This window comes from Homo sapiens, chromosome 3 (assembly GCF_000001405.40).
Source record: "Homo sapiens chromosome 3, GRCh38.p14 Primary Assembly".
Taxonomy (NCBI): domain Eukaryota; kingdom Metazoa; phylum Chordata; class Mammalia; order Primates; family Hominidae; genus Homo; species Homo sapiens.
In genome coordinates, this window is record NC_000003.12 from 31,508,018 (window position 1) to 31,520,618 (window position 12,601).

Sequence of the window (12,601 nt, forward strand, 5' to 3'; positions counted from 1 at the left end):
ATGATGTTCTGTAACATGGCTCTGCCTCAAGTTAAATAAATTTTTTTAAAAACGTAAGTAAGAGGCACCCAGAGTTCTCTCATTCTTGGAACTTTGTACGCAGGGCTTCTTCAGCATCCAACTGTGGGAAGATGAGCAGCAGTTGACTCAGATGGGCTCTCCTCATCTGTGATGGTTTGCAGCCATTTTTCTCAAAGTGGCTCAAGAATAGCCTACATGTATGTGCTTGGGAGGCAGCAGGTAATGCTAAGCCACAGAAAGCCAATGAAACTTAGGCTATGACAGCAATTTCCCTTGCTTGAGAGGAACTCTCTGTGAGATAAGAAATTGAGCACTCCTTTCTCCTATGCCATATGGTGCTGCAGTATAATTTAAATTCAAAAAGCCAAATTTCATAGCCTGAGAACTGCAGTTGGTAGACACTCCTAATCACTTTACTGATATAAGTAGGTACAGAGAAGCATAATAGTTTAAGTGAAAACCATGCTTTCAGAATCTGATAGGAAACCCTACTAATGTTTTGTATCTTCTGCTTCAAAGGAAACACCCAGAAAAAAAGATGCCAAGGAAACAGGCTAGGTAAATTGATACTTAGAAACAGGGTAGGCAAAGTTACTTAAAAAAAAAAAAAAGTGCACTGTATGGCTGCGACCTGTTGTAGTAGGATTCTGAGATCAACAGAAAGAAATCCATTAAGCTCTAATTTCTACAGATAATGTTAATGTTAATAAAAGTCATAATTGAGAAAGAGGAAGTGGGTAGGAAGTTGGGCTATTTAGACAGAGGAGTTTTTACTGAATAGTAAAATAATTCCAAGAAGTATTTCCTAAAGATCAATAAATATACCTAGAATAGGTAAGGCTGTGAATTCCAGCTTATATTCTTAGTAGAGATTTACAAAACATACTTTTTAAATGTTCAAATCCAAGAAGGCGAGTTCTAAGAAATACAAGCAACTCTTTCTCCTCTATGCTGAAAAGAAATGAAGCATGAAGATGGATAATTTGGCCCTTAGGAGATCTAAGGGAAGACTCAGTTGCCATTCTGAGTAACTGCAGGGGGAATTGAGAGCTTGAGAGAACAAAGAAATAAAGATGATCTTATATGCTCTGTTGAGAGAACCTTCCTTTCTGTACTAGTCAGGATTTTTCCAGTTGGAGAAAAAAAAGAAATAAAAGAAGGAAGGAGGGAAGGAAGGAGGCAAGGAAGGAAGGAAGGAAGAGAAAGAAAGAGAGAGGGAGGGAGGGAAGGAGAGAAGGAAGGAAGGAAGGATGAAAGGAAGGAAGGAAGGGGAAAGAAGGAAAAAAGAAAGAAAGAGAAGAGAAAGAAGGAGGATTAACTTAAGTAGCAGGGGTAGTTTGACTTCAGATGTCCCTTGATCCAGAAGCTCAAAGATATAATTGGGGAAAGATTTCTTTTCATCTTTCAACTCTGCTCATTCAGAACAGGTTCTATTCTCGGTCAGGCTTTCACTTTGAGGTGGTACAGCAGAGAAAGCTCATTGTTCTCCAATAGCTCATAATAAAACCCTAACTGCCTGGGTACACACCATCCTGAGATAAAGACTATATTTCCATACCTCTGTTATAGTTAAGCATAGCTATGTGACTAATTTCTGGCCAATGGGATACAAGTAGTAGTGTCAAAAGCAATTTCCAAAAGTGTCCTTGAACCATCCTCCTCACCTCTTCCTTCTCCCTGCTGCCTGGAAGCTCAAGCAGCTGCCCTAGACCATCAGGCAGAGCTATGTATCAAGGGCACCAAAGCAAGAAAGAAGGAAACCCTCACTGATGTCCAGGGAGCTACCACCAGCCCTAGGTTGCTTACCTCCAGACTTCACTTGTTCATTTCTATCTTACTTAAGTTATTGTAATTTTGGGTTTTCTGTCTCATGGAAAAATCTAATCTTAATTGATATACATAGCAAAATGCTTACTATCACTCCAGGCTTTATATGCTATGAGGTAGAAGTCCTGAACTATGCCTGCCTCATTCCCAGTGGCCCTAGAGTTTCATTTGAACAGCTCAATGGCTCTGACTGGGTCATGGGTCAATTCCTGAACCAATCACCGTGGCCTGGGATTCTGGAAGGTTTAACTGAGATGTGCCCAAGGCTTGAACTGAGAGTAGTTTTCTCTTCATTCATCTGAATTGCACAGACTGACAGTTGGGGAGGTTTCCCAAAGGGAAAACAATATTCACTATGCTTCCCAAGCCAGATTTTCTCCCTAATTTTCTGATTTCCATCAAAGGTGTGATCATTCTTCTACGCTCACAACGCTATATGTAACCTGCTGTCCCTCCAAATGTAATACTGTTACCTTATTTTCTCTTGTGCTCAATATAGTCTTTTCGCCACCATCCCTCAAAAAGTAAAGACAAAGAGACTAACACAAGAGAGGCATTACTGTTCCATGGTGTATGACTGGAGCAAGGGTAAATGATATCTATGTGCTCACAATTTTCTGAGAAACATATTGTAATAAATGTTATAAACAAAATAATTTAAAATACACAAATCAAAACAATTGATCAGTACTCTTCAAAAGTGTCAAAGTCATGAAAGACAAGAAAGACTGAGTAATTGTTATAGATTAGAGGAGACAAAGGAAACATGGCAAGCATGGAGGACAGAGTCTAAGGAGTCAGCCATGATTCCCAACACCTGGTTTTTATGCTCCAGTATAATCCCCTCCCCTTGACTTGCTTTCTACCAATGGAATATGGCAAAGGTGATGGGATGACATTTCTATAATATTATATAAGTCTCCATATTGCTAGTAGACTCACTGAAGAGCTCTCTCTTCCTAGCTGGCTTTGAAGAAGTACTGGCCATTGTGGGAGCCCTCCACTGGTGAGGAGATAAGAGCAGTTCCTAGAGACTGAGAGTAGCCTCCAGCCAACAGCCAAAAAGAAGCCAGAGCCCTCAATCCTACAGCCTCAAGAGAATAAATTCTGTCAACACCTGAGTGAGTTTGGAAGCAAATTCTTCCCAGTTTAGCCTCCAGATGAGACTGCAGTCTGCCTAGCACTTTGACTTATGAGACCCTAAGCAGAGGATCCAATTAAATTATGAAATGATAAATGTGTGTTGTTGTAAGTGGCTAAGTTGGTGGCAATTTGTAAAAATAATACAATGTTTGTCAAGACAGAAAAGAAAATGATGGACAATTTGACACTTCATCTATATCAGATGCCCTGCTTTCCCTCTTGCAAAGGCCTGTGTGCTCCTGTCAACAGCTGAGCAGCATTGCTTCCTTTGGCACATAGATTTCTTTTTTTCAATCATTTGATATTACACAGTTTTGTGGTGGTTTTATTCCTAGTAATGATTATCTTAAAATGATGTTTACGCAAAAGACCTTTCTCCCCACTCTTCCCCCGACTCTCTTGCTTCTGCCTCCCCAACAGCTTCTGCCCATAACTACATCACTTTCTTTCTTCCCTGTCTGCTATGGTTTGGCTGTGTCCCCACCAAAATCTCACCTTGAATTGTAATAATCCTCATGTGTTAAGGGTGGGGCCAGATGGAGATAACTGAATCATGGGGGCAGTTTCCCCGATATGGTTCTCGTGGTAGTAAATAAGTCTCAAGAGATCTGATAGTTTTATAAATTGGAGTTCCCCTACACAAGCTCTGTCTTGTCTGCTGCCATGTAAGACATGTCTTGCTTTCCCTTTGCTTTCTGCCATGATTGTGAGGCCTCCCCAGCCATGTGGAACTGTGAGTCAATTAAACGTTTTTCCTTTATAAATTACCCAGTCCTGGGTATGTCTTTATTAGCAGCATGAGAATAGACTAATACACTCTCCATACCTCCTTTTCTCTCCTCACCATCTCTTTCCTCACTTTGTTTGGAATTTCTAAGGACAGGAATCACTAGTATCAGAGAAATAAGGGGTCTGATGTGGTTACTGTTTTTTTTTTTTTTAACAGTCTATAAAACAACACACAAAACCCACCCCTACCTCTTCAAAATTTAAGTTGTGTAATATTTAGACTCTATCCAGAATTAATCACTTCCCTCTTCTTTTTTTTTTTTTTTTTTGAGACGGAGTCTCGTTCTGATGCCCAGGCTGGAGTGCAGTGGCGCGATCTCGGCTCACTGCAACCTCCACCTTCCGGGTTCACGTGATTCTCCTGCCTCAGCTTCCCAAGTAGCTGGGATTACAGGCACACTCCACCATGCCCGGCTAATTTTTTGTGTATTTTTAGTACAGACAGGGTTTCACTATGTTGGTCAGACTGGTCTTGAACTCCTGACCTCGTGATCCGCCCACCTCAGCCTCCCAAAGTGCTGGGATTACAGGCGTGAGCCACCATGCCTGGCCATTTCCCTCTTCTCAAATCTCTACAACAGCATCTCAGCCCAGAATGAAGTATGCCCAAGATGTATCTTCATGACCTTGAAAGGGTCTTATAACTTCAAAGAAAGTTTGCAACTACTTTTTAAAAAATTAATTTATTCATTTTTATTTGTATAAAGTTGTGGGGTACAAGTGTAATTTTGCTACATGCATAGATTACATAGCGGTGAAGTCAGGGCTTTTAGGGTGTCCATCACCCAAATAATGTACATTGTACCCCTTAAGAAATCCCTCATCATTCCCTCCCTTCCCACCCCCTCACCTTTCCAAGCCTGTGTTGTCTATCATTCCACACTCTATGTCCATGTGTACACCTTATTTAGCTCCCATTTATAAGTGAGAACAGGCAGTATTTGTCTTTCTATGTCTTACTTGTTTCACTTAAGATCATGGCCTCCAGTTCCATTCGTGTTGCTGTGAAAGATGTTATTTCATTATTTTGTATGGCTGAGTAGTATTCCATTGTGTATATACACCACATTTTCTTTATCCAATCTTCCATTGATGGACACTTAGTTTGATTTCATATCTTTGGTATTGTGAATACCACACCTGCAATGAACCTGCTGCAATGAACATATAGGTGATTTTTTGATATAAGGATTTCTTTTTTGTGTGGAGGGTAGGTAACCCCAGGAGTGGGATTGCTAGGTTGAATGGTAGTTCTATTTTTAGTTACTTGAGATATCTCTGTACTGTTTTCTATAGAGGTTGTAAATTGGGTGTACAACTTGGCAAAGAAAATGAACGTACAGGTACATAAAGTTATTTAAAAACAGAGTTCATTTTAAAGTTATTTAAAAACAGAGTTCATTTGTTTAGAAAATAAATAGCTCAAATGAAAATAAATAGAATATAAATAGAATAAATAGAAAATACATAGCTCAAATGAAAACCTGGAGCTCAAACAAAAACAGAATAATAAATGATGCTATCGACCTGGTGAAAATGTACTCTATCTCCTTGAGAGGAACAGAGGTATTAATTAAATAAACACCTTACTTTTAACCTGGTCTATGGAGTTGAAAACCTGTTAAATTCATTGAGAACTCTCAGGACTATTTCTTGCTACTTACCGTGGGCATTAAAAATTTCTGTGTAGACGTTAATGCCAACAACATTTGGTCAGTGTCTACTACATAATCTTTACTTATGTGCTCTGCCTCAAGTTGCTTAACTATTTCTGAAATTATAAAACCCTCTTTTGAAGTAGAGATAGAATAAAGGATCTCCTGCTAAAGCAGAGACACAAAATAATAATTATATGTAAAGTATAAAATAAATCTCTTTTATTTAAAGGGCACAAAGATGAATAGAGAAAAACAGGAGAACTAAATTAAGGCCTATATTAATACTCATAGAAGTTACTAACAACGCTTCATTATTTTTGTTAAATAATGTACATAGCAAGAGATTTGAATTTCTTATTTCAAAATGTCTTGCTTTTCAAAAATAAATTTTCAGTGCCCTCGGAATCTTAAATGTTCTCATGTATGTAACACAGTAAGCTTGTGGACTCTTGGGTTTAATAAGTGCTCTCAATTTTAAGAAATAAAAATTGAGCCGGGCTAGGTGGCTCACGCCTGTAATCCCAGCACTTTGGGAGGCTGAGGCAGGCGGATCACGAGGTCAGGAAATCGAGACCATCCTGGCTAACACGGTGAAACCCCGTCTCTACTAAAAATACAAAAAATTAGCCAGGCGTGGTGGCGGGCTCCTGTGGTCCCAGCTACTTGAGAGGCTGAGGCAGGAGAATGGTGTGAACCCGGGAGGCGGAGCTTGCAGTAAGCTGAGATCGGGCCACTGCACTCCAGCCTGGGGGACAGAGCGAGACTCAGTCTCAAAAAAAATATAATAAAACGAAATAAAATCTTGAAATTCAATCAGGAATAAATTTAATTTTAAAGTTAATTATTCAGGCTTGTTAGCATATCTAAGCAAGATTTGGTTCTCACAAATGTTTGGTTGTGTTCTCAATGCTGAAATAAAAGGGAATCAAGTGGTATGTGTCCAGTGGATGCCGGCAGGTGACAGAAGGCTGCCCGTGGCAAGTTGGCCAAACTGTTGACAGACTATTTTCAGTCCCCCACCCCTGTGGGCCACAGTGAAGAGTTAATGGTGCTTATTAATCCTGCCCACAGTCACTGAGAAATGGTGCTCCCCAGAGAGAGTGTCTGGAAGATAAGGAATGAGAGTACAAGAAATACTGGCCTTCTCTGCAAGGTTTTCAGACCTCAGTAGCCAAGAAGAGATTGTATTTCGTGTGTGTGTGTGTGTGTGTGTGTGTGAAATAAGAGTAGATTAAACAAAATCTATATTCTAGTTCTAGGTTTTACTTTCTTGATTCATGAATATACAAGACCAAATATATTATGTACATAATATGTACATTATGTACATAATCCATGAGGAGGACTAGCAAGATTGAATTTCACGTGTGGCTTGTCAAACATCTTGCTGCTTTACATTTTGTACCTTGAATGAAAACCCATGCCCACACATGAGCATGTGCGCACATACACACACATGCACGCACACATATACGCTCCTTTTGCCAATAAAGGTCACACTGCTAAACCACTTTCAATTGAACATGATCTTTGAGTTGTTCTTCCAATAGTGGTTTCAGGTTTGCACTGTTATTCCCTCTCATGAGGTTGCCTTTGTGACCTAGTGAACATGTTTCCAAATTTTCTGGCTGAAGTTACATTTTGCAGAAGAAAAATACTTTTTATCAGTGAAAACCTAAGTGGCTCTATAATAATAATTACAAGATTTATTAAGCTTTCATTGTACTAAGCACTGTCTCATGCTTTATTTCAATGAACTCATTTAATCCTGATTATCTGGGATATAGACACCATTATTAATATAATTATTATTCTTTTTAACAGATAGCAAAACTGAAGCATAGAGATGCTGAGTAACTCACCCAAAGGCACACAGCAAGTAACAAGAGCCAGGATACAAACTCAGGAAGCCTGGTTCTAAGACCCATACTCTTAATCATTACACTGTTCTTACCACTGTATTGTTTTCTACAGTCAAGGAGGATCTTTAACAACTGGTACTTCAAAACAGTGAAATACAAGGTGGTTAGATAAAATACAGCAATGGGGGTCTAATAGACAGAATAATTATTTTGAAGACAGAAAGAGCTGGGATTGTCTCTGTAGTAGTGATTTCACTGCTCACTGGATATCCAAGCGCTCCCCTACATTTTCTAGGCTGCATAGTATTAGCTGAGCCCATGTGATTAGTCTGTCCAATGGGCTATTAATGGAGGTGAAACAGGCCACATCTGGACTGAATAATTTAAAAGCCAATGTGTGACTCTTCAGTTCTCTCTTCATCTGCCACAGTGATTGAGAAAGCTATTTGGTTCAGATGGTGTAGCTAAATGATGGTAAAGACACAGGCAGCCTAGGTCCATTCATATGGAACAGAGCCCCTCATAAGCCCACTTGGATAGGAACCAGGAGTAAGAAAGAAACCTCAGTTATGTTAAACCACTGGTAAATAAGACTAGTTTGTTTCTGATACTATCTAATACAGTCCACAAGTTTCACCAGGTTTTCTGTGTAGTCACTGAAAATGTACTTGACCTTTCTGAGCCTCATTTCATTATTTTTAAAATATGCACACTGACACTCTCCTGGCAGTTGACATGAGGATTAAATGAGAGCTTTTGTATGCCTGGCAAATAGAAGTTGCTCAATAAATAGTAGCTATGGTAATTATTCAGTATTGCACTACATAAAAGTAACCAAACAAGGCTGGGTATGGTGGCTCATGCCTGTAATCCCAGCACTTTGGGAGACCAAGGTGGGAGAATCGCTTCAGCTCAGGAGTTTGGGACCAGCCTGGGAAACATAGTGAGACCTTATTTATATAAAAAGTAAGCAAAATTAGCTGGGTGTGATGGTGTGTGCCTGTAGTCCCAGCTACTCAGGAGGCTGAGGTGGGAGGATCACTTGAGCCTGGGGGGATCACTCAAGGTTGCAGGGTTGTAGTGAGCCAAGATCAAGCCACTGAACTCCAGCATGGGAAACAGAGCAAGATGCTGTCTCTTCAAAAAAAAAAAAAAAAAAGAACAGCCTAAGTAGCTTAGTGTATAAAGGATGTGAACAACATTTGCTTAGCAGAGTTTATTACTGGGTTCCTGTAAATTGCTTATAACTGTAAAACAGCCAAAGATTATTTCCAATACAACATGTAAACAAGGTTATAATATGCACCCATTTTATAAATATGTTTTGGCACCTAACATTCACACTCCTTTTGTTAACCTCAACTCAAATTCCCATGGGAAATCCTCTTGCCCCCCCCCCCCAACCCCCATTCTCAACCAACATGCTCCAGCTAGGGCTCCATTTACGTTCCAGGATAGAGCACATGACCTGAGGCTAAGGCAGTTATCACAGTTCATTTCCCTCACCACAGTAATTGGTTCAAGGATGAACACATTGTCTGCTCAGAGCTAATAAGATGCAGTGAGAATGCTGGGAATCCTGGAAAAAAGGTATTAGATTTTTTTTTCTCATTTGAACATGAGATGTTGAAATTGTTGGAGATGTGGCAGCCATCTTGAGCCACGAAGGAAGAGCCTGCCTGGGAATAAAGCCAACGTGGAGGTGAATGATACCAAACACATGGTTGTGATGGAGAAATGGCATCTAGTGACATTGTTTGAGCCCCTGATCAAGCTACCTCTGAAATCAAACATTGAGATTTTCACTTTAGTGAGCTAAAAATTATTTTTTTGTTCAATCAAGTGTTATATGAGATTTTGGTCAGAAGGGAAGTTTGGGTATCCCAAAAGCAAAGTGCCCAATTCTGACTAGATGGGTGTAAAATTTAGGAGTCTCTACAGAATTCCTTCCCATTCTTGGAGCTTTTCCTCTGTCATTCTTCCTGGACTCTGCATTGGCCTCTTGGTTTTATTACCTCAAAATCCATATTGTTGGATTCAGAACTCTCCTTTATCTAATGGTTGAGTCTATTATTAGGTAAATGCAGTTAGGCTTACTTGCCTAACATTAAAACTACTTATATAATTAAAATTTTTCCAAAATGACAAATTTACAACCAGAATATATTTCTTTTTCTCCCATTTAAACAAAGCCTTGCATATAAGTAAAGCAGGCATTCTTCAGAAGAGACATACGTTTTGCTCAAGAAATATAGAACTTTTAATTAATACTATGTTTCTTTATCTTAAAGAAGAGAATGTGTACAACATATTAGAATTTATTCTCATTTTTGGTTCACAAATTTGCTACATGGAATTTTATAAACTGTATTTTATAAACTATATTGTAATAACCAGGAACAAGTAATATTTTTCATAGACTGGATTATTATTTTCAATTTATCATTCTCCTGTAATAGATTATACAACCATCTCCTTTCCCATAAGACTTTGTAATGATTCCCAGGAGAATCGATGGTGTATACAGCCCCACCCCATTGATGTGGATATAAATCTGTTTGCATGATTTGGCTTGGTTCTTGAGCTTCTGCCATTCATCCTGAAATGAGGATGATCTGAATAGCCACTGGGTCCAAGGAAACTGAAGAGACACATGGAGGAGATCTCAACTCTGTCCACACCACCAAAAGCTAAGTCTACCTGATATCAGCTGAGCCCAGCAGAATCACAGACTACTCACAGGCCAATGAGTGAAAATAAATGCTTGTTGTGATAAGTCACTAAATTTTGGAGTTATGTGTTATGCAGAATTATTGTAATTATTTTATCAGTAGCTGACTAATACAACCCAACCCTATTATAAAATAATGCTAAAAATAATGCTTTCTCTTTCAAATTTAGTGTCAGGTATTCTGTCTCTGATAATTTATAGTATCTTGAGACTCTAAAATATTTTTATAATCAAAATTTATTACCTTTGCAATATTGTACTTAGGATGGCGAATTGGAAAGCATTCAAGATATACTAGGAGTCACTAGAACTGGATTCTAATCCTGGTTTGGCCACTATAAGTAATGTGTCTTTCACAAGCTGCTTAACCTTTCTGGACCTCTCAGTTATTTAAAAAATGAGGGTTGAACTAGATTCTCTACAGCCAAAATGTTATAGTTGTGGTCTTCAAGTTCATGCAATGTGTGTACATAAGAATGAAATAGAATAATTATGTTATATGCTAAACGATTTCAAATATAGGTAAAATAATAATTCAAGGTGTAAGAATTCTGAGAATGTTTTTATATTCCTGAGTTTCTTAGATAAATGAGATACATGTATCAGTAAGTTTCTTAGATTTAGTCTGGCTGACTCTTATAAGACTCAGGTCTTACAATTTCAAAAATGTTTATGAATATTCTAGAATAGAGAAAGTGACCTAAAGAAAAATGTATTGATTACCTAGGCTGTACTCAGTACACATGTATTAATTAGTCCACTCAGTCTGCATTAGCAGAATACCACAAACTAGGTGGTTTCAACATAAGAATTTTATTTTCTCACCGCTCTAGACACTGGAAATTCAAGATCAAGATGTCAACTGGTTGGTTCTTGGTAAGGGCTCCCTCCTTGGGTTGCAGATGGCTGCCTTCTTGCTGTGTCCTCCCATGGGCTTTCCTCTGTGTAGTGCAAATAAAGAGAGATCTCTGGCCTCTTTTTATGAGGACACTAGTCCTATCAGATTAGAGCTCTACCCTATCACCTCATATGACCTTAATTACTTTCTTAAAGACCTCTTTCCAAATACAGTCATATTGGGATTAGGACATCAAATTTGAATTTTGGTGGGACAAAATTCAGTCCATGACAACACATATAATGAAAAGATAATTTAGTGGAAGGAACACAGATTCTGGTTTCAGATAAGGCAAGGATGAACATGAGATCCTGTTATATAAGGTATCTCTAAATTCTTTCCCATAGAAGAATGACTTATGGGCAATAATACACAAGAAAATTAGATTTTTATGGACTATGCTCCATCTTTTTGCAAGCAGGCCAATCTTTGGATTTGGAGGTGAAGAACTGCTATGACTTTACCCAATGTTTCAATTCATACTTTATGGAGAAACATGGCCATTTCTCTATACAGCCAGGTCCAGACATGCAAGCTCTGCATTATATGTCAGATATGACAGAACTTCAGCTCCATCCTTTTCCTGCATTCTCACCTGGATCAAAAGCAACACTCTAAGATTCCACGTACATGCTCAGATTATCCTACATATAGGACAGCAATCTTGGGCCTGACACACGGAATAAGTATGACGTGCTGAACCCTCTCATCGCTTAACCAAACATACACTGTCACTCTGTCTGGAACAAAATTGCTGAACCACCAGTTCAATCACTTGATAGTATTCTTCTACCAATTCCTTCACCTTAAATTTTACAGATTTGCTCAGCTGCTGCCTTTGCACTCAAGTCCTTTTTTCTAGCAGTAATGTAGAAGTACTCAAATTATGATTTTGTAGTCACACAACTGGGAAGCTGCACTTAGTCTAAATGAGATGGTAGATACAGACACTATGTAGTCATAGACACCTTGAAATTTGCTTCAAGATGATAGCAAACATTTTTGTAAACAAGTGAACGTTCATATTGCAAACAATGCATCAATGGAAACTTCCTTTTAAGAAAAAAACTTTGAGACACTTTTGGTGTTAGTTTTGTAACCTCAGGTAAATATTTTAGTCTTTTAACACTTTGATTTCCTTCACAGTAAAATGAAGACGATAATTCCTACTTTGTAAAGCAGTGGTTCTTAAACTTTGACATTAGTTTGAGAAAAATATCTGGAGTCCTGACTGAAAATGCAGAGTACTTAGGGTACACCCAGACATACTAAGTAGGTGACCCAAAAAGCAGCATTTTTAGGAAACACCCCAATAATTTATGATGTAAGCATTACTGGGCTCTTGTTTTGTGAAATATGATAGTAAAAAATTAATTAAATGAGAAAATATCGAGCACTGCTTCCCTTTCCCATACACGAACAATAATCACTATAACATTCATTTAAAAAAAATAAATCTGAGATCAAGAGTTGGTGACTAACCTAAGTACCCATTGACTAATGACTGGATAACGAAAATATGGTATATTTACACCATGGAATACTACTCAGCCATAAAAAAGAATGAAATACTGTCTTTTGAAGCAACTTGGATGGAGCTGGAGGCCACTATTCTAAGTGAAGCAAATAAGGAATGGAAAACCAAATATTGTATGTTCTCACTTGTAAGTGG